This window comes from Homo sapiens, chromosome 4, assembly GCF_000001405.40.
Source record: "Homo sapiens chromosome 4, GRCh38.p14 Primary Assembly".
Lineage (NCBI taxonomy): Eukaryota > Metazoa > Chordata > Mammalia > Primates > Hominidae > Homo > Homo sapiens.
In genome coordinates, this window is record NC_000004.12 from 106,780,593 (window position 1) to 106,803,818 (window position 23,226).

At 32.8% G+C, this 23,226-nt stretch overlaps 1 long non-coding RNA gene across 1 annotated transcript in view; it reads left to right on the forward strand.

The window, feature by feature from the left end:
- The window catches only part of LOC105377356 (uncharacterized), a 288,441-nt gene that overhangs the window by 254,750 nt on the left and 10,465 nt on the right, over positions 1–23,226 (forward strand). The window contains exon 5 of the long non-coding RNA XR_939051.1: positions 8,644–8,709. This is a non-coding gene — a long non-coding RNA (uncharacterized LOC105377356). The remainder of the gene's footprint in view (positions 1–8,643; positions 8,710–23,226) is intronic.

The window sequence follows — 23,226 nt, forward strand, 5'->3', positions numbered from 1 at the left end:
TATGTTTAACTTTTTGAGGACATGCCAAAATGTTTTCAAAAGTAGCTACAACATTTCACATTTTCACCAGCACTGTAAAGATTCCAATTTTTCCACATCCTAAAAAAAAAATTGTTATTGTTTATATCTTTGTTTCTAGCCATTATAGTAGGTATGACGTGGTATCTAAGGGTGACATTGATTTGCATCTAACTGATGGCCAGTGATGAGCATCTTTTTATGTGCTGATTGTCAACTTGAATATATTCATTGGGAGAAATGTCTATTCAAATGCTTGCCTATTTTTAAAATGGGTTATTTATCTTTGTATAAGTATTCTTTACATATTCTAGATACTTATTTTCTTATCAGATATGTGAATTGCAAATACTTGCTCCTATTCTAGGGTTACCTTTCCAGTTTCTTTATAGTGTCCTTTGAAGCACAATAGTGTTTAATTTTGATGAGATTCATTTTATATATATATTTTTTCTTTCTGCTTGTACTTTTTGTGTAAGTTCCAAAAGATAACTGCCAAATCCAAGTTCACTAAAATTTATACCTATGTTTTCTTTCAATAGTTTAATACTTTTAGCTCTTTCATTTAGGTCTTTAATTTGTGTTACTGTTTATATTCTGTGTGAGGAAGTTGTCCTACATCATCCTTTTGCTTGAGGAAATTCAGTTGTTTCTATACCATTTCTTAAAAAACTATTATTGACCCATTGCATTGTCTTGGCAGCCTTGCTGGAAATGAATTACATGTAAGGATTTATTTCTGGACTCTCAATTCTACTCAAATCATAAGTCTATTTTTATGCTAGTACAACACTGTCTAGATTGCTATAGCTATGAGTACTGTAAGTTTTGAAATTGAGAAGTATGAGTCCTTCAAATTTGTTCTTTTTCAATATTGTTTTTGAGTAAATTAGCACTCAAATTTTATATGAATTTTAGGAACACTTTGGAAATTCTGGCAAAGGAAAAAAAAGGCAGCTAATAGGGATTTCATTGACTCTTCAAACCAACTTGGAATATTACCCTCTTTACTGTATTAAGTTTTCAAACCCATAAACACATAATATCTTTCTATTTATTTAGGACTTCTGTAATTTCTTTCAATGAAGTTTGGTAATTTTCAGTGTACAAGTCTTATACTTCTTTTGTGAAATTCATGTTAGGTATGATATTGTTTTGATGCTGTTGTAAATGGAACTGTTTTTAAATTTCATTCTGGATTGTTCATTGCAAGTTTATACAAATATAATTGATTTTTGCTTTTTGATTTTCTATCTTGAAATTAGCTGAACTTGATAATTAGTTCTGATGCTTTTGGTGGATTCCCTAGGATTTTCCACTTAACAAATTTATATTATTTACAATTAAAGACAGTTTTACTATCTCCTTTTCAATCTGGATGTCTTTCCTCTTTCTTGCATATTTTTTGGAGTGGGTCTGGAGCAAAACAGTGTTGATTAGTAGTGGCAAGTTCAGTAAAGTTGCAGGATACAATATCAACATACAAAAATTAGTCACATTTCTATATGCCAACAGTGATCAAACTGAAAAAGAAATTTAAAAAAGTAGTTTCATCTACAATAACCACATATAAAATTAAATATCTATGAATTAACCAAAGTGAAAGATCTCTATAATAAAATCTATAAAACACTGATAAAAAATTGAAGAGGACACCAAAAATGAAAAAAGTATTCTATATTCATGGATTGAAAGAATCAATATTGTGAAAATGTCCATACTACCCAAAGCAATCTAAAGATTCAACGCAGTCACTATCAAGATACCAAAGACATTCTTCACAGAATATAAAACAATTCTAAAATGTATATGGAACAAGAAAAGACCCAGAATAGCCAAAGATATCTTAAGCAAAAAGAACAAAATTGGAGGAATCATATTACCTGACTTCAAATTATATTACAGAGTTATAGTAACCAAAACAGCATGGCATTGTCATAAAAACAGACACATAGATTAACAGAATAGAAAACTGAAAAACAGACCAGGAGCAGTGGCTCACACCTGTAATCCCAGAACTTTGGGAGGCCAAGGCGGGCGGATCACGAGGTCAGGAGATCAAGACCATCCAGGCTAACATGGTGAAACCCAGTCTCTACTAAAAATACAAAAAATTAGCCAGGTGTGGTGGTATGCACCTGTAATCCTAGCTACTCAGGAGGCTGAGGCAGGAGAATCACTTGAACCTCGGAGGCAGAGGCTGCGGTGAGCCAAGATCATGCCACTGCACTCTAGCCTGTGCAACAGAGTGAGACTCTGTCTCAAACAAAAAACAACAAAAAAACTCAGAAACAAATCCACACACCTACAGTGAACCCATTTTTGACAAAGGTGCCAAAAATATACACTAGGAAAAAGACAGTCTCTTCAATAAATGGTGCTGGGAAACTGGATATTCATATGCGGAAGACTAAAACTAGACCCCTATCTCTCATCATATACAAAAATCAAATCAAAGTGGTTTGAAGGCAAATCTAAGACCTCAAACTATAGAACTAATTCAAGAAAACATTTGGAGAAAATCTCCAGGATATCGGACTGGGCAAAAGTTGTCTGAGCAATACTTCACAAGCACAGGCAATCAAAGCAAAAAATGGATAAATTGGTTCACATCAAGTTAAAAAGATCCTGCAGAGAAAAGGAAACAATTAACAAAGTGAAGAGACAACCCACAGAATGGGAGAGAATATTTGCAAACTATTCATTTGAAAAGGAATTAATAACTAGAATATATAAGGAGCTCAAACACCTCTGTAAGAAAAACATCTAATAATTTGATCAAAAAAATGGACAAAAGATTTGAATAGACATTTCTCAAAAGAAGACATACAAATAGAAAATAGGTATATGAAAAAGGGTTCAACATCATTGATCATCAAAGAAATGAAAATCAAAACTACAATGAGATATCATCTGACCCCAGTTAAAATGGCTTATATTCAAAAGACAGTAAACAACAAATACTGGCAAGGATATGAAGAAAAGGGAATCCTTGTATGTTGTTGGTGGGAATGTTAATTAGTAGAACCACTTTAGAGAACAGTTTGGAGATTCCTCAAACAACTAAAACTTGACCTGTCATATGATCCAGCAATCCCACTGCTGGGTATGTACACCAAAGAAAGGAAATCAGTATATTGAAGAGACATCTGCGCTCCTGTTTGTTGCAACACTGTTTACAACAGCTAAGATTTGGAAGCAGCCTACGTGTCCATTGACAGATAAATGGATGAAGAAAATGTAGTACATATACACAATGGAGTACCAGTCATCCATAAAAAAGAATGAGATCCAGTGATTTGCAACAACGTGGATGGAACTGGAGGTCATTATGTTAAGTGAAATAAGCCAGGCACAGAAAGACAAACATTGAATATTCTCGTTTATTCATGGAATCTAATAATCAAAACAATTGAAGTCTTTGACATAGGAAGTAGAAGGATGGTTACCAGAAGCTGGGAAAGGGTAGTGGGAGGATGAGGGGAGCTGGGGTTGGTTGATGGGTACACAGAAAAATAGTTGGAAGAAATGAGTGGGACCTAATATTTGATGGCACAACAGGGTAACTGTAGTCAGCAATAACTTAGTTGTGATTTTAAGATAACTTAAGGACTGTAATTGGGTTATTTATAACTCAAAGGATACATGCTTGAAGGGATGGATAACCCATTCTTCATAATATGCTTATTTCACATTGCATGCCTGTATCAAAATATCCCATGTACCTCATAAATATACATACCTTCTATGTACTCACAAAAATTAAAAATGAAAAAAATGCAAAAAAGAAGTGGCAAGCACAGCCTTGTCCTGTTCCTGTTATTATAGTGAAATAAAAGATTTCACTATAATGAAGTCTTTATCTCTATGTATAATGATAGCTTTGTATTTTCCATAGATACACTTTGTCAGGTTGGAGAAGTTCCCTTCTATTCTAGTTTGAGTGTTTTCTTATATCATTAAATGATTTGGATTTTGTCAAATGCTTTTTTTATTTATCAAGATGATCATTTTTGTTTAGATGTATCACTTTGATTTTTCTATGTTGAACCACCCTACCTAGCATTTCTGGGATAATCTCCATTTGGTTATGTTGTATTATCCTTTTTATATGTTGCAGGATTCTGATTGCTGATATAATGTTAAGAATTTGCATGTCTCTATTCCTAAGTGATATCTGTCAGTAGTTTTCTTGTAATGTCTTTGTGTGATTTTGGTGGCAGTGTAATACTGTCTGGATAGAATGAATTGAGAAGCTTTTGCTCCTCTTTTATTTTGGAAGATTTTGGGAAAAATAAATGTTAACTCTTCTTTAAACATTATGTAGACAACACCAGTGAAGTTATCTTTTACTGGGCTTTTCATTACTGGGGCATTTTTGATTATGAATTCATTATCTTTATTTGTTGTGGTTATATTCAGACCTTTTCTTTGTGAGATAGTTTCAGTAGTTTCTGTCTTTCTATAATAAGAATCTTTCCATTTAATCTATATTATCTAATCTCTTGGCATACCTTCTTTATAGTGTTCAATTACAATCATTTTTATTTCTATTAGTTTGGTAATAATGTTACCTCTTTCCTTCCCAATTTTAGTAGTTGGGCTTTCATTTTTTAATTTAGTGTTCAGTCTAGCTAAAGGAATGTCAATTTGTTCATTGTTTTTGAAGAATGCACTGTTGGTCTTTTTCAATTAAATTTTTTTTCTATTCTCTATTGCACTCATTTTCTCTTTGATCTATATTATAGCCTTAAATCAGCTTGCTTCAGTTTTAGTTTGCCTTTTATTTTCTCATTTATTAAGGTTTAATTATTGATTTGTTATCTTTCTTCTTTTTTAATACAGACATTTATTGCTATAAATTTCCCTGTACCTACTGCTTTTGTACATCAAGTAAGTTTTGGCATGTTGTATTTGTCATGTTTTAATTTTCATTCATCTTAAAGTATTTTCTAATTTCTTTTGTGATTTCTTCTTTGCCCCATTGGTTATTTAGAAATGCTAATATCTACATATTGATGACTTTTCAAAATTTTCTTATTTTTATTTTTTAATATTTTTATTATACTTTAAGTTCTGGGGTACATGTGCAGAATGTGCAGTTTTGTTACATAGGTATACACGTGCCATGGTGGTTTGCTGCACCCATCAACCCGTCACCTACATTAGGTATTTCTCCTAATGCTATCCCTCCCGTTATTAATTTTTAAATTGTTTTATTTTATAATTTTTAAAGAGCATTGTTGAGGTATGACTGACATAGAAAAAGCAGCACATATTTAAGGTATACAACCTAATAAGTGTGGAGGTAAGTATATACCTAGGAAATCATCATAACTATCAATAACATAAACATATCCATTACGTCAAAACGTTTCCTCTCCCCCTCTTTATTTATAGGTTGTATGCTTCTAAAAATGTATCCATTTCTTTTGTTTATTCAATTTGTTGGCATATAATTATTCATGATAGTGCCTTATGATTTTTTATTTCTGCGGCATCAGTTTTAATGTCTCCTCTTTCATGTCTTATTTCATTTATTTTAGTCTTCTCTCTTTTTAAAATCATGCTAAGAGTTTTAAATTTTTGTTTACCTTTTTAAAAATCCAACTCTATTTTGTCGAATTTTTGTAATATTTTTCTGTTCTCGTATTTATTTCTGTTCTAATCTTTACTGTTATTTTCCTTCTGGTAACTTAGGGCTTAGTTTATTTTTCTTTTTTCTAGGTTTTTTTTTTTTTGAGGTGTTAAGTTGGATTTTTATTTGGGATGTTTTTTATGTAGGCATTCATCATTGTACACTTTCCTTTTCATAATGCTTTCATTGTATCCCATAAGTTTTGTTATGTTGTGTTTTTGTTTGTCTTGAAATGTTTTCCAATTTCCCTTTTGATTTCTTTTTCAACCTATATGTTGTACAAGAGTGTGTGTTTAATTTTTATGTAGTCATAAATTTTTACATTTTTCTTTTGCTATTGATTTCTAGTTTTATTTTATTGTTGTTTGGAAAATGCACTTAGAATAATTTGTCTTATTAAATTTTTTTAATGTTTTATGACTTCGCTTGTTATCTATTCTAGAGGATGTTCTGTGGTCACCTGAGAAAAATGTGTATTCTGTTATTGTTGTTTAAGATGTTTTGTATGTTTATGAGGTCCATTTGGTCTATAATGTTGCTCAAGTCTTCTCTTGTTCATTTTTTTGTCCAGATAATCTATTAATTACTGAAAATGGAGTTAGTAATGTCTTTTACTATTATTGTATTGCCGTCTATTTATCCTTTCAGATCTGTCAATATTTCCTTTGTATGCTTAGATACTCTAATGTTGGGCAGTATTTATAATTGTTATATCATTCTGTTGAATTGACACTTTTATCATTATAAATGACCTTCTATGTCCCTTGTGACAGTTTTTGACTTAAAATCCATTTTTTTTTTGACATACGTATAGACATCCTGTATTCTCTTGGTTAACAAATGTGTAGAATATCTTTTTCTACCCCATTTCCTTGCAACCTACATATGTCTTTAAATCTGAAATGAGTCTTGTAGGTAGCATTAATATTAAACGTTGTTGTTTTATTTATTCAGCCACTACATCATTTGATTGAGGGAGATCAGTCCATTTAAATTTAAAGTAATTATTGATAAGAAAGGAATTACTATTGCCTGTTTGTTCATTGCTTTTGATTTGTTTTTTTTCTTGTAGTTCTGTTGTTTCTTTCTTCCTCTCAGTCTTTCCTTGTGAATGGATTATTTCTGCAGTTGTGTGCTTTTATTTTCTTCTCTTCATTTTTTGTGTATCTACTATATATTTTCACTTTGTGGTTACCATGAGGCTTACATAAAACATTCTTGTCATAACTATCTATTTTAATCTGATAAATACTTAACATCAATTGCATACAGAAAATTTACAGTTTTATTCCCCTGATACATTTTATGTCATTGATGTCAGATTTTACTTCTTTTTATGTTGTGAATCCATTGACACATTTTTGTGGTTATAATTATTCTTATTACTTTTGTCTTTTAAATTTTATACCTGGGTTAAAAAAAGATATTTGCCACCATTACATTATTACATTATTCTGTTTTTGCCTATATAGGTATCTTCACCAGTGAGATTTATATTTCCATATGCTTTTGTGTTGCTGTTTATTGTCTTTTTATATCAACTTGAAAAACTGTTTGACACTTCTTGTAATTTAGGTGTTATGGTAACAAATTCCCTCAGTATTTCTTTGTCTGAGAAAGTCTTTATTCTTCATTTTTAAAGAACAGATTTGCTACGTATAGCATCTGTGGTTGGCAGTTTGAAAAATATTTCTTTTTAGAAATTTGAATATATAATCACTATCTTCTGGCCAGAAAGGTTTCTGCTGAGATTTCTGCTAATAGCCGTATGGAATTTCCCTTTTACTTAATGAATTGCTTTTCTCTTGCTAATTTCAAATTTTTTTTTTACCCTTGACTTTTGACAATATAATTACGTGTCTCCATGTAGACCTCTTTAGGCTTAATCTAAAATTTATTTAAACTTCAAGAATCTAAATGTCCATTTACATCCCAATATTTGAGAAGTTTTCAGCCAAAATTTCTTTACATAAGCTTTTTGCTCCTTTCTCTTTGTATGCTCCTTCTGCATTGCCATAGTGCATATATTGGTGTTATTGATTATATCCCATACATCCCACAGGCTTTCTTGACTCTTTTTCATTAATTTTGCAACTTTGACTAGATAATTCTATACAATCTATCTTCAAGTTCACTGATTCTTTCCTCTGATTGATTGAACTTCTGTTGAAGTTCTTTATTTAATTTTTTAGGTCAGTTATTGTATTTTCAGCACCGGAATTTCTATTTGGTTCTTTTAATTGTTTTTTTCTCTTTTCTTGTTTTTCTTTTTTTTTTTTTTTTTTTTAACCTCTATGGTTTGATTCTGGGTAGGCTTTTTTTTGAGCTTCTAATTTTGTTGATTTATTGCTTTCCTGATTTATTTAGCTATCTATCTCTGTTTCTTAGTAGCATAATGAGCTCCTTCAACACAATTATTTTGAATTCATTGTCAGGCATTGCACAGGTCTCATTTTCTGTAGGGTTGATATATTAGAGTTTTATTTTTATTTTTTATTTATTTGGTGATGTCATGTTTTCCTGATTCTTTATAATGCCTGTAGCCTGCATTAGTATCTGTTAATTTAAGGAAGAATTTAGCTCTTCTGGTCTATACAGACTGGCTAAAGTCCTTCACTAGTCAGTGTAGTCAGTGTGACCAAATAGTCTGGGTGCCTATTGAAGTGGTCAACAGACAGCTCTGGATTCACAGCTGGCCTCTGTGGGTGGGTATGCTCAGTTCTAAGGTCTGTGCATCAGCAGGCATGTTGTTAGGGTCCCAGGGAGGTGGGGAAGGGACTGTTATCACGGGTCACAAGATGGCTGTCAAGGTCCCCAAATTGATTATCAAGACTACTATCCCTTTTTGTCTTTAGCTGTCCCCAGGTTATCAAGCCATATTGATTCCCTCAATGTTCTGTGTGTTGTGTGATATAGGCAAGCTAGTCAGGTGTGCCCCAAAAGACTAGGGAGGTCAGATGCTCACTTCATTCTCTTTTTCTCCATAGGACAACTTGCAGGCTGAGGTGCTCTCTGTGTCCTGACATGTCAGATTTGGGAAATGAGTGAAGCAGGTAAAGTGAAACTGTTTTTGTTTTATTATTATTAATATTATTTTCAATGCATTTTTCTCCTTTCTGTGCTCTAACAGGATGCTGTACCTTCTCACCTGTATTCTGGAGCTCTCATAAAGGTATTTTCATCCATGGATGATTTTAAATAGGTGTTTTGATTGGGGGATGAGGGCCAGAAACTCCTATTTTGCCATCTTACTGTGTCAGTTGTGTTGATTTTAAATTTTATTGCATTGTCTTTGAAACATTCAAATAACATTAAGCTTTTTAAGTTTTTGCAACATATTTATGACCAAACATAGTTTATCCTGCAGAATGTTTCAGGTTGACTTGAGGAGAATGTGTATTTTCCCAATTGGGGATGGACTGTCCTATAGTTGTCTGTTAGCTCTATTTGATTTTTAGTGTTGTTCCGATATTTCATCTTATTGTTCTTCAGTCTGGTTCTTTGATCTATTATTAAAACTGGGCTATTAAAATCTTCAATTATTTTTGTGGAATCATCTATTTCTCCTTCAATTTTGTCAGATTTCTCTTCATGTATTTTTGGGCTCTGTAAGTACACATATGTTTATAATTATGTATTCTTCATGGATTGGCACTTTTATCAGCATAAAATATCCATTTTTATTTTTATTAATAATTTTATTCTCAAAGTCTTTTTATTTCTATTTGTATAGCTCTTCTAGCTTTCCAGGTGATTATAGTTTATATGTTGTCTTCTTCACATCAACTTACTTTCAATTTATTTTTATCTTACTTATCAACTTGTTTCTCCTAGAGGTATACATTTGGATATTTTTCAAAAAATTCATTCTGCTGATCTCTGCCTATTGATTGACACATAATGTGGTCTGAAGATTTGTGCCCCCAAAATTTGTGTGTCAAAACCTAGTGCCAGTGTAATAACAGCAGTGCAACCTTTGGTTGGTGACTAGGTCATAAGAAAAGGGTCCTCATTATGGAAATAATGACCTTAAAAAAGAGGTTCCAAGGCAGCTTGTTTGCCCCTTCGACTATGTGGAGACGCAATGAGAAGGTACTGTCTACAAGGAACAGGACACCATATCTTCTGGTGCCTTGATTATGCACTTCTTAGCCTCCATAATTGTGAAAAATAAATTTATGTTATTTATAAGCTGCCCAGATTATGGTACTGGGCAGGGTTAGAGTTAGGGTTAGGGTTCTGTTTTCAGTTCTTTTTCTTTGAGAAATTTTCAAACTCCTCTCCAAAGTGGCTGAACTAATTTATATTCCCATCAGCAGTGTATAAGCATACATTTTTCTATGCAGTCTCACTGGCATCTGTTATTTTTTTACTTTAATAATAACCATTCTGACTAGTGTGAGATGGTATCTCATTATGGTTCTTATTTGCATTTCTCTAATAATTTTTCTCTAATAATTAGTGATATTGAGCATTTTTTCACTTTTGTTGGTCACTTGTATGTATTCTTTTGAGAAGTATCTGTTCATGTCAATTGCCCACTTTTTATATGTGTGTGTGGTGTTTTTTTTTTTTCCTTGCTTTTTGATTTGTTTAAGTTCCTTATAGATCTGGCAAACATTTTCTTTCATTCTGGAGGTTGTATGTTTACTTTGCTGACAGTTTCTTTTGCAGTGCAGAAGCTCTTTAGTTTAATTAGGTCCCACTAGTCAAATTTTGTTTTTGCTGCAGTAGCTTTCGAAGACTTCGTCATAAATTATTTGCCTATATCCAGAAAGGTATTGCCTAAGTTTTCTTCCAGGATTTTTATAGTTCGGGGTCTTACATTTAAATCTTTAATCCATCCTGAGTTAATTTTTGTGAATGGTGAGAGAAAGAGTTCCAGTTTCATTCTACTGTATATGGCTAGCCAGTTGTCCTAGCACCATTTATTGAATAGGGAATCATGTCCCCCTTGCTTATTTTTGTTGACTTTGTCAAAATCAGGTGTTTGTATGTATGTGGTATTATTTCTCAGTTCTCTACTCTGTTCCTTTTGTCTTTGTGTCTGCTTTTGTACTAGTACCATGTTTTGGTACTGGTTTTGTTTACTGCAGCCTTATAGTATACAGTCAGGTAATGTGATGCCTCTGGCTTTGCTCTTTTTGCTTATGAATGCTTTGGTTTTTCAGGCTCTTTTTTGGTTTCATATAAATTTTAGAACAGTAATTCTGTTAAAAATGATGTTGGTGGTTTGATAGACATAGCATTGAATCTATAAATTTTGGGGGGCAATATAGCCATGTTAGTGATATTGATTTTCTAATCCTTGAGCATGGAATGTTTTTCCATTTATTTATGTCATGTATTATTTCTTTTAGAAGTGTTTTGTAGTTCTCCCTGTAGAGCACTTTTACCTTCTTTGTTAGATTTATTTCTAGATATTTGATTTTGTTTGTTCATATTATAAATGGGTTTGTGTTTTTGATTTGGTCCTCAGATTGAATGCTATTGTATAGAAATGCTGCTAATTTTTGTATATTTATTTTGTATCCTGAAACTTTACTAAAATCATTTATTGGTTCTAAAAGCCTTTTGCTGGACTCTGTAGGCGTTTGTAGGTATACAATCATATCATCTGCAAAAAGAGTTTTCTTCTTCTCTTCCTATTTGGATGCCTTTTATTTTTTCCCTTGCCTGATTGCCATGGCAAAGACTTCCAGTACATGTTGCATACGAGTCATGAGAGTGGGCATCCTTGTCTTGTTCCAGTTCTCAATGAGAATGCTTCCAGCTTTTACTCATTCAGTATGATGTTGGATATAGATTTGTAATAGCATAGATTATTCGTATTATTTTGAGTTATGTTCCCTTGATGCTTAGCTTGTTGAGGGTTTTTTTCATGAAGGAATGTTGGATTTTATTGAAAGCTTTTCTCATCTATTGATATGACCATATAGTTTTAAATTGTGTTTATGTGGTGAATCACATTTATTGATTCACATATGTTGAGCCAAATTTGTATCCAAGGAATAAAGCCTACTTAATCATAGTGAATTAACTTTATGGTGTGTTGCTGGATTCAATTTGCTAGAATTTTGCTGAGAATTTTTATGTCTATGTTAATTAGAGATATCAGCCTGAAATTTTCTTTTTTTGTGTCTCTGCCAGGTTTTGGTATCAGGGTAATTAGCTGGCTTCATAGAATGAGTTAGGGAGAAGTCTCTGCTCAATTTTTTGAAATGGTTTTAATAGAATTGGGACCAGCTCTTCTTTGTATATCTAGTAGAATTTGGTTGTGAATCCATCTGGTCCAGGGATCTTTTTGTTTGGTAGTTTTTTTTATTACTGATTCCATTTTGGAGCTTGATATTGGTCTATTCAGGGTTCCAATTTCTTCCTGATTCAATCTTTGGAGGCTTTGAGTTTCCAGAAACGTATTCATTTCCTTTAGATTTCCAGTTTGTGTGCATAGAAATGTTCATAATAGCCTCTGAGGATTGTCTGTATTTCTGTGGGAATGGTTGTAATGTTACTTTTTCTTTCTGGTTGTGCTTATTTGGATCTTCTCTGTTTTTTCTTTGTTAATCTAGCTAGTGAATTATCTATTTTATTTATCCTTACAAAGAAGTAACTTCTGGTTTCATTTCTCTTTGCATGGACTTTGGGTCTCAATTTCTTTCAACATTATTTATTTATTTTATTCTGCTAGCTTTGGGGTTAGTTTGTTCTTGATTTTCTAGTTTGTCTAAGTGTGATATAAGGTTGCTAATTTGAGACATTTCTCACTTTTTGAGGTAAGCATTTAGCACTATAAACTTTTCTCTTAGCACATTTTCACTACATCTCAGAGATTTTGGTATGTTGTATCTCTGCTTTCTTTAATTTCAAGAATCTTTTGATTTTTGCCTTAATTTCATTCCTTACCCAAAACTCAGTCAGGAATAAGTTGTTTAATTGTGTGATTTGGGGAGATCTTGGTATTGATTTCTATTTTTATTCCACAGTGATCTGAGAGTATGATTGGTATTAGCTGAACATTTTAGCCAGGAATGTGGTTGATCTTGAAGTATGTTTTGTGTGCAGATGAGAAGAATGTATATTCTGTGGTTGATGGGTGGAGTTTTCTGTAGATGTCTATCAGGTCCAATTTGTCTAGTGTCAAAGTTTAGTCCCGAATTTCTTTGTTAGTTTTCTACCTCAGTAATGTGTGATGCTTTCAGTGGAGTTTTGAATTCCCCTAGTATTATTGAAAACCACAGGATACTTAGTGGGAGAGGTGAAACGGCAGGACCCAGTCTTCTAGAGGAGGCAAATTAAAATATAATCAATCACCAGATGAACTATGCCATAATTATAGCATTTTTTTGTTTTTAATTTCCTATTTTGGTAGGAAAATAGTAATATTACAATTATAGAGAAAACAGACCTACTTTTTATGTAGTTGATTTTATATGTCATTGATGATCTGTCTCATTTACAACCCTTATTAAATGTTTCCCTTCTTGGGAATTTGGAGAATGGAGATGGAGCTTCAGTGCCTTCATACAGAACACTGATCTTCGCCCTGCAATTATGATGATAAACATTTCATGTGGGAAAGATGAAATGGAGCAGAAAAAATATCTGCTATAGTTTCTATGAAAACTGTTTTATAGACTTTTGTTTTTTTATAATCAGTAGTTTCCCAGCCTTGGGCCAACCATTCTTATATTGTGGAATTCCCCAATGTATAAGAGGTGGGAGGCATATTCCTACCCCTCCCCTCTCCACACACCCCCTCCCCAAACAGCAGAAGTGAAATCATTATGTCCTACCAAGGAAGCAGCCAGTCCACAATGATAGCTTCAGCAATGGTACTCTCTTCCTAAAGAGTTTGAAACTTGAATAAGCACTAGAAAGACTACTGAAAGTTGAGATTTGATTTGTGGCTGTTAGGTCTGTGGTCAGTGGTTAGGTTTCCAAAGAGTAAGGATACCTTAGTGTTTTTGACTAGATTATTTTTGCTGCAAAGCCTCATTTGAATTCATCTTGTTTGCTTAGCCTGATTTTCTGGTCTTCATATAGATCTAGGATCTACCTAATTTCCTTACAGTAAATTCCTTTTCCCCTCATATAGTAGGTTTCTATTGCTTGCAGCTAACAACCCTAACTTACACTGATATTATTGTTTAATCCTTGTTCTGTGGTGGGCAGGTCTATACAGACCTACCCCAAAGTGTGAGGAAGCTGAGATACCAAAGAAGGAGGCCGACATATCCAGTTTCTTAGAAAGAAACATTTAATAGGGACTTATGAATAGAAGCCACGTCTGTTTCTTAGGGGCCGGTGAAACAAGATGATGGATCCTTCTTCTATTACCTGTGCAAATCTAGGGCTTTTATATTATAGGAAAAGTATATATGTGATTCAGAAGGTACGCAGAGGCCAATTGAAGTAGGATAGCATCAAGCTTTTTTTGACCTAAGGGAGAGATTTATGGTAAGTACATATACTCTTACACAAAGAACAATAGATAATATAGAAATCTTAGAGATATTCCTGCAACTGGGGTTAACTGGAAATCAGCATGGCAGATTAGCATCCAAGATGGAATTGCTTTAGCCTCCATAATCTTTGTCATTATTTATTGACAGGATACAAATATTACACTTCTCTAAATAAATCCTTAAAGTTTTATACATATGAGAGGTGTGTATAGGGTGCTAAAAATTATTTAGGAAGAGGCTGTTTGGCCTCTTATCCTTAGGCCAATCAACCAAGTAGTGCAGCTGCATTATCATTGACCATTACTTTAGTAATTCAGAATCCTATCATTTTTTCAGAAATGTTATATGAAAATATGAAATGAAATTATCTTCACAAGGCAATGTTGAAACATTTATATGGCATTACAATATTGAATGTCATAATATTTAAAACATATTTTGTGCATGAATTTATAGGTATTTTCTCATTTCAATTTTCATTAATAATACAGTTCTCTCAGTTGTTAATGCAAGACTGTTGTTGCCAAACAATTTACTAGTTAATATAGATCCCAGGCCATTGGATTGACTACACTGGATTTTATCTTATTAATAGACTCCCTTAAGAGCAAAAGAAAGGAAATAATTGGTAACAACTTTGGGTATGTACCCAAAGATATAACTTTTCAGAAACATTTTCTTCAATTAAAATACAGCATTGACAAAATGAAGTAGAGAAAGTTAAAATTTAGTGGAAACAAATATTCTTTTGAAATTGAGTAGAAGTGCAGCTAAGGAATGTTTAGTCACAATCAACTTGGTTAAAATGTGCTGACAGGACATACTTTAAATTTCTTAATAACGTATCTTAGCCCTGAAAACTTCAAACCCTCAAAACCTATTTAAATATATATTCATAATATTTGGTCTCAGGGATTTTGATAAAAGTACATCTTAAGATGCAGTGTTTGGAGGTAGGGAGTGGTCTGGAGATCCAGTGGAGAGCAGCTGGTGTCTACCCACTGACCCCCTGACCTTTAATAACCTTAGATATGTTACTTGACCTCTCAGTGCTTCAGTTTCCACATCAACAACTGGGGATAATTTTAATACCTACTCATAGGATTGTTGTAAATGTAATCACATGAATACTGATAAAGCTTGGTATGTAATAAGTGCTTTTAAGTAGTAGTGTCCATGGACTTGAAAATATACTATGCCAGATTTAACTGTCTTTGTAGATTTTTAGATAATCTGTATTTATTTCAACAATCTATAAAGTCTTTTATCCCTATTCTTTCTCATCCTATTTCTTTTTTAAGCATTTCACTCCTTATATTCTCCAATATATTATGAACAAAGATTGTTATATTAACAACATTGTTTTTCAATTGCATAGAAAATTTTCTTTGTTAAAATAAACTATTAAACTCTTGGAGAGAAAAATTCAAATAATTTTCTTTATCAAAGTTTTCTGTATCATTCTTCATAGTTTCATCTGTGTCTGAGATTTAGGCAGGGATTAAAATGATTTTATTGAGTACATTATATAAAAGATGTTGAAAAATAATGCTTTTACTATTCATAAATAGAGTGTAATATGTTAAACATTAAAATGTTAATAAAGAATGAAATGAAAACTATTACAACATTTGCATGAGTTGAGAATGTTCATATTGTCCTAACAAATCATATTTTTCCCCATAAAGACTAGGAATGGGAATATGTGAACAGAAATGACAAATTTTACCCAATTGTTGGAAAGTTAATGTTCTGTTTCTCGTCTCTTTCTCACTCTTCAAGTGAAAGCCTTTGGGCAAACAGGGATGTGTTTGTACCTAAGAACTATTTATCATCGGTTATAATTTCTGGTATGTAATTTTCTCTGGGAATGTCACCAAAACAGAAATTTCTCCTATTGGCTCTATTTGAAGATTCATTTAGCATAGCAAAATTAATTGTAGTTTTTGCATTTATTAATCACAAGCTTTTCCCATACTGGATCACAGGATACAAGTGGGGGAAAGGGGAGCTCTATTAATCAACGGAGAACAATGTGAAATAAGGGAAGAGTTCAGGAGATAGAAAATTACTGGTTAAATCTTATCTGTTGACTTAGGTGACCAAGGTTAAACATATACACATATGTGTGGACACATACACACGAAGCAGCCTTGGATTGTTAATGGGTTATCCACATTGTATAAATTCACAAACACAGAAGATTCCTTCATTTCTGGCTTGGCTTTGTTTACACAATTGTGGCTGTGGACACTTCAAGGTTCTGTGAGCTCTCCTACTAGTTTACAACCTTACAAGGCTGTTTTTCTAACAGCAGAACATTGGCAATAAATGTCTATTAGTCAAAATCACTGCAGCAGTTTTATAAGGCCTATGAGTGCATATTTCCCAGTCTGCTTCTCTTTAAATTACCAAGAATGCAAAAATAACCAATAGTTTGACCTCTTAAATCACAAATTGGATAGGCTCACCATTAAAGTATATTGTAAATGTGTTTCCCATTATTTAGCTCATTTAGCATGTTCAACAGCAGGCATTCAAATGTGTTAAGGGGTTTTTTCATTTTTTTTTTTACTTCACAGAAGGCATTAAATTATTTTTCAAGCCATCAAGGGATAATTAAAAAACTAGAATACAAATGGAATATGCTAATAGATCATCATTAACCATCTGCATGAAAGAGAAAGAATATAAAAGTGCAATAGGCTCAGAAATTATTGGTTTCACGTTAATCATTTTGATAGTCTTCATTATAGAAATTTAACATAACTTTTTAAATTTAGGAAATTATATGAGGAGATCATATACAGAGTGAAAAAGAAGTAACTAGAATTAAAGTTTACAATCTAAAATTATTGCCATCCAGATTGAAGAAATGATCGGTAGTAAATGATGAAACAAAATATTTCAAATTCAACATAAACTTTAAGTATATCCACTTTTTATATTAATATTAGAATATGACATTCTGATTAGTCAAAGTGGGCATATCTGTCTAAATTTTTTTTCTTCCCTAAAGCGGGTTGATGCATTTTATCTTCAATTGTTTTCCTGAAACATTTTTAAGGCTTAAAGAAATGTTTACCTTTTAAAAAGCAGTAGTAATTTTTGTATATGCTTTGGATTCTCTCTGGCATAGCTCTACATACTAAAATGCCATAAAAAGTGTAGAATAAAGCATCTGGTGTTTGAGTTACAAGGTCTTATCACTAAACAGTGTGTTTCTGTTAAACCTTTGACAGGTATTTTACACAGATCACAAAGTTAGAGTGACCTGTCACAATTAATTACTATTTACTGGAGTTCATAGGTGTGTTGAGTAGCTGAAAAGATGTCCTGGCAGAATAACATCAATTCAAATATACTCATTTCACAAAATTTGGATCTGGTCTACATTCATACATTTCACTCAAATATTATGATGTGACTTTAGAGGAAGGGGAACTTAAGTACTGTGTCTATTTAGTCTCAGCGTGCAAAAAATATAAAGATTACTTATATCAATTCTTTCACCTATAATTCACTTGTTCTATAATACGTTTTTAATGTATTATAGATTATACTTGTTATTAAGACATACACTTGTTATTATATATTATACTTGTTATTAAGGTAATAACAAGTGAGGAGGATATACTTGTTTATTACAATTTGTGAAACAAACATTCTTTAATTTTAAAGACAGAAGAGCTTTATTTTTATGTAGCAATTTCTGAATCATTCAAGGATTTCTTCAAGTAGAAGCTAATGTATTTTCCTGGGTTTTTGAATATCCCATGACAATTTCCTCAGATTATGCTCTTCTGTGCAAGATCTTTCCAACATACACCATCCTTTTCAACATTTTTATATTGCCTTAAAAATAATGCTAGTGCAGGGAGAAGATCTATTTACTGTATGTATAGATTATATTTGGGAGACAAGTACTATGTTCATATAAAACATTATTATTAAAAGATTCAATTCTAAACTTAAAGTAAGGAAGCTTTTTCCCCTTACTTTTCATCTTGGGAAATGTGAAGTGGTTTGCAATAAGCCAAAGGAAATGAAAGCGTTGATGAGAGAGATAGGCATGTAGGTGATTGATAACAGCCAAGGTTGCCTGCAGGTTATTGATGAGCCACACATAGTGCAGCAAACCTGTATTTTATTTCACAAACCATGACATAAAGGTGTAAATGTGTTCCATTAAAATCATATTCCAAATGTGTTTCATTAAAACAAGATTTTGCAAGCTATCTAGATGATGTGTAAGTACTTGTAGATAGAATATTGGTATATGTAAACTTTCTCGATGAACAGGTAAAAGTTGTCGGTATTTTCTTAAATTGGGTATTTGTCATTTGCACAGAGCTTCTCCTTTTAAAGAGTAATAAAGGTGGCTACAGATCTCAAACAATAAAATTATGGTAGCCATCACTGACTAAATAACTTACTTCAGCCAAAAGAAGACTTAAAGAAAAGCAGTGAATTTAGCAGCTCTCAACTATGCAATCCCATTTGTGTTACATCAAAAACAAAAGCATGAATGTGAACAAGAGCAGGACAGTGTGGCAGTTAATAGAATGGTATTCTTATGACAAAGAGAAAGTACTGATTCTTTGTTTTAAAATAAAGTGTTCTGTTGCTTTGATAGGAAAAGAACCCTGCTATCATATTAAAGTAATTTTGATCTAAGATGTACATGTACATAATAACACTTTCCCACTTCTGTCTCCCCCTCCCTCACCCTATTTCTCTTTCCCTCCTTCTTGCTATCTCGTTCCTCCCCATATCGTAAATACATAGTGTGGTTGTAGTTATGTAAGAAGCACTTCTTTGGTTTTCTTAGTACACATAAAATGCATATTACTTTCACTCCCTTCCCAACACATATACGTACTTTCCCTTAATTAAGTGAATTTTAGTTATTAGGGCAAACAAATAACCTACTAGAGTTCTAAAGATTTCCCAATACTAATGTACAGTCTGGTTTAGGATAAATGAAAACAAGTTGGAAAAAAAAATCTATACAGCTTTTTTGGTATTATTAGCCGTATAGAAATTCTTGATGAATTACTACCTGATCTAGTTATTTTGTAGTGCCAATGTACTCTTTAATTAAATTAGAAGGTAACAACTAGTTTAATCTTTTTATGGAACATTGTAGCTTATTTCTTTCATATTTTTGTTTCCAAATCTTAAAATACCATGAGCATTACACTTCAAAGTCAATACTTTAATTAGAGATTATCCTAACCATAAGTATGTTTAATCCTAAAGTGATTACTGTATTTCCATTCCTGAAACTTTAAAAATCACATTTGAAGATATAAGGCCTGATGATAATGATTAGACACTAGGACTTTGAACTGTTATTTCACAATGAACAAGAAAGAAGACTATAAGAAATTAACCACTTAATGACTCAGTTTTTTTCCATTGTAAAATGGAAAACATAATACCTACCTTATTGTATTTTGATAAAACTCAAGTGGGCATATAACGGAGTAAGTAATATAAAGCACTTAAGGTAATTAACAATGCAGTTAGTGTTGTGGGAAGATGTGTGGAGAAGTGAGGGACAGGTTTGTGAGCAGAAAAAAAAGGCTGATGCAAGTCTATTCACTAGAATATATATCTTGGAACTACACCCAAGTTGCTTCACCTGCTGTCTCTGCTCAGATCAGTGTAATTCATAAATCATGTAATTGAGCACCCAGGTTACCTCTCTTGTACTAGTGACTAACATCCCTACATGGAGGACATCAAGAGGGGGGTAAATGTGGAGGCTCTACTGATGGTACATGTGTGAATTGGTTCATTGCTCAGATTGTTCTCCTGGTCCTAATTATCTATGAAAGGGATCAAGCTTCTGATGTGGAATACAAACATGATCATCAACAATTAAAACCGTCAGTGCATAATCAGTGGGTATTTCATTGTTGATATGGTACTTGTCCATTTTGCCTGCTTCGGGGTTATTCTTGTTGAGTAGAGGCATGGAGGATGTGATCCTGGCAGTTCCTGTAGGCATCTCACATTTCCACAGGGAGAAAATTAGTTAAAATTTCAAAAGCAATTGCTTTTGTGGGTCCATAAACAAATAAAAAACACAAAACATGTCCTAAATCAGGAAATAAGCATTCTATGTTCTAATTTGACACCCAGTTTCTTATGTACAGGTCAATATATCTGAGCCTCAGTTTTTCAAACATAAACTCAAAATTATGGATTTGCTTATCTTTAAGGTCTTGTGTAGGTCCCCAATTACAGCAAAATTTAGCTGTGGCACAAGCAAAAAACACCAGTGACTAATCCAAAGCTTATTAACCTATTTATGCCTAGTGTTCCATTATTGGAACGCTAAGCTTGTAGGAGTTATATGTATCCTACTGCTCAAGGTCATCACCAAGGCCTGACTTTTCACAAAAAAAAATTTGCAAACTTTTTGTGACTTTTCACCAAAAAAAAAAAAAAAATGGCATAAGTGAGTTAATGGCTGGCCTGCTCATCTTTGAATCCCTCTTATTAGGGAAAGAAAGTTAGCTTAAGGCAGATAGACTCAGGCCTCTCAATAATATAACATATTGGCAAATATTCTAGTAAAACCGTGTTCCCATTTACATTATGCATTGGAAACAATTTTACCTGCTGGCTGGCACTTTCTCTGAAATTGTTAGACCATATATAGTGAATAAAAATGACACTCAACAACTCAGAGTTTAGTAACAATGCCCATGTTTACGTATTTTACTGAATTTTTTATCGGAAAAAATCTGGAAATCTCATGAAAGAGGATTTTCTCTTTGTTGGTTTTTCAAGTACAAAAAACTGCAGTAAAATAAAGTCAATGGAAAACAGCCTTTGGCCAGAGACTTTTCTCAGCTTCCTAATTTTAGTCAGCCCAAAAGCTTGTCTTACACAATTGTGGAAATAGTGACTCTGGCGTTAGACTAATCAAGAACTGTAGAAATAATAGAATGAATAAAATCAGTTATGAAGTGTTTTTGAACTTTCATGTAGGTTTGGTTTTCAGTTCATCATGGTGATGAAAACTACAGTATGTTTAGATTTTTTTGTAATCTGATTCATCAATCATACTAGAATTCAAGTTATCTGTCCCCAAAATGTAACTGTCTTTGCCTTTATACCTTACTTCAAAATGTGAGAAGTGTAGAGAATAAATTTCCTATAGTTACATATTTCAACATTTAAAATGGAAATGACTTAAAATTTTATACTGCTTAAATGATTTCTGTTATTATAGTTACATACTGGTGTAATCAAATACATTTAGGGAAACAAAAAAGCAATGCTTTTCCCTAGGAATTTGGTAAAATATGGTGTAGTCACATTCCCTTTTCTAAAAGAAAAAAAATTAAGGAAATAATAACAGGTGCTAGGCTAGGTAAAAGTCTCTTGTGATTATAGAAATAACGAAGGGTTTAAGTGGGAAAACTCTTAAGTGCTGGAAGTGTTGGAAGAGCAGGCTGAAGATTAGAATTAGAATCCCCACGGGAAAGAAGGAGGTAAACTCTTTACCATAAATCATCTAGATGCTTAATTTGAAATCAAACATGAACCTGAACATGTGTCATATAATCTGGCTAAGTACACCTGGGTTTTATTAAGATGGTGTGAGCCAAAGACCACAGTGTTTTAGAAAAGCTTGAGCAGATCCTCTGCTAAAGAGAAAAAAGTACTGTGTCTTGCTGTTGGAAAACAAAACCCATAACCTCAGTGCACCAACTTCAAGTAATTAATGGACTGATCTTCCAAACATGTATACTATATTTGGAAATGAGTATAATGTAGTGTTTAACAGGATGTATTTTAGGGTGATATAGTCTCGAGATCAAATCCTGACATCTCCACCACTAGCTGTATGGCTTTATGCAGATTGCTTAACCTCTCATCATTTCAGTATCTTCATCTGTATGATGAGCACTGTTATAGTTCAATGTTATAGGACTGTTGTTTAAATTAAACACAATGTGTATAAAATTCTTAGTATAGTGCTGGGCACAAAATAGAGCCTTAATAAAGAATGATTGCTTTTGTTTTTATTATAAATTGAGTGTTAATTTTTATTGTAAATTGAGTCTGCCATTCAGAACCTTTTAATTCATGAACAGTTAAGTTCACAGAAACAGAAACATAGCTGTTCTTAATGACATTTGTCACATCCTACCAACTACAGCCCTATAACTCTTTAAGAAGTTTTCATGGTACCTTTTGTTAAATTACTTTGTTATCCTTTTGTCCTAATAAAAAATTACAAGTAACTCAAATATGACCTTTGTCCACATTTACCAATTGGTTATATGTTTACACCATCTGTTCCTCTCCTTTCTTCTCCTTTCCGTTCCCTTCCCTTCCTCTCCCCTCCCCTCCCTCTTCCCTCTTTCCTCATGTATGCACACACATTTCTATTTATTCCAAAACATTTGGAAGTTGGAGACATAGTGCTGTTTTACATTAAATTCTCCAGCGTATATGTCCCCCAAACAAGGGAATTCCTTTAAATAACTTCAGTATAGTCATCAAAATCAGGAAATGTAATACAGTGATACAGTATACAATCCAATCCACTGTCCACATTCCAATTTGATGAATTGTTTCAGTGACATTTTTATAGCTATTTATTCCCCAGTCCAGTACCCAATCCAGGATCTTGCATTATATTTTGTTTTCATGTCTCTTTAGTCTTTTTAACTTGGAACAGCCCCTCAGCCTTTTTTTTTCTCTTGACCTTGAATTCTTTGAAAGTACAGGCCTGTTATTTTATAAAATAAAAATATGTGTTATTTTCTTGTTTTCTCATGATTAGATTTTGCTCGTGGGTATTCTGGCAGGAATGGCACTGAAATAATGTTATATCCTTCTCAGTACATCTTATTAGGGGCCACATTATATTAGTTTTTCCAGTATTGTTAATAATTAAGATGAAGTTTTTCACAGTATTGACTTGGTTAAGATGAAGTTTTTTCAACGTCTTAGTTGTAATTGATGGAGGGATACGTCGATGCATAAAATATTAACAAAACTCTAGTCAGGCTCCTCTAAGCCCACTAGACCTCAACCTTGGCATTATCCTTATCAGTCCTGCATCATCCAATT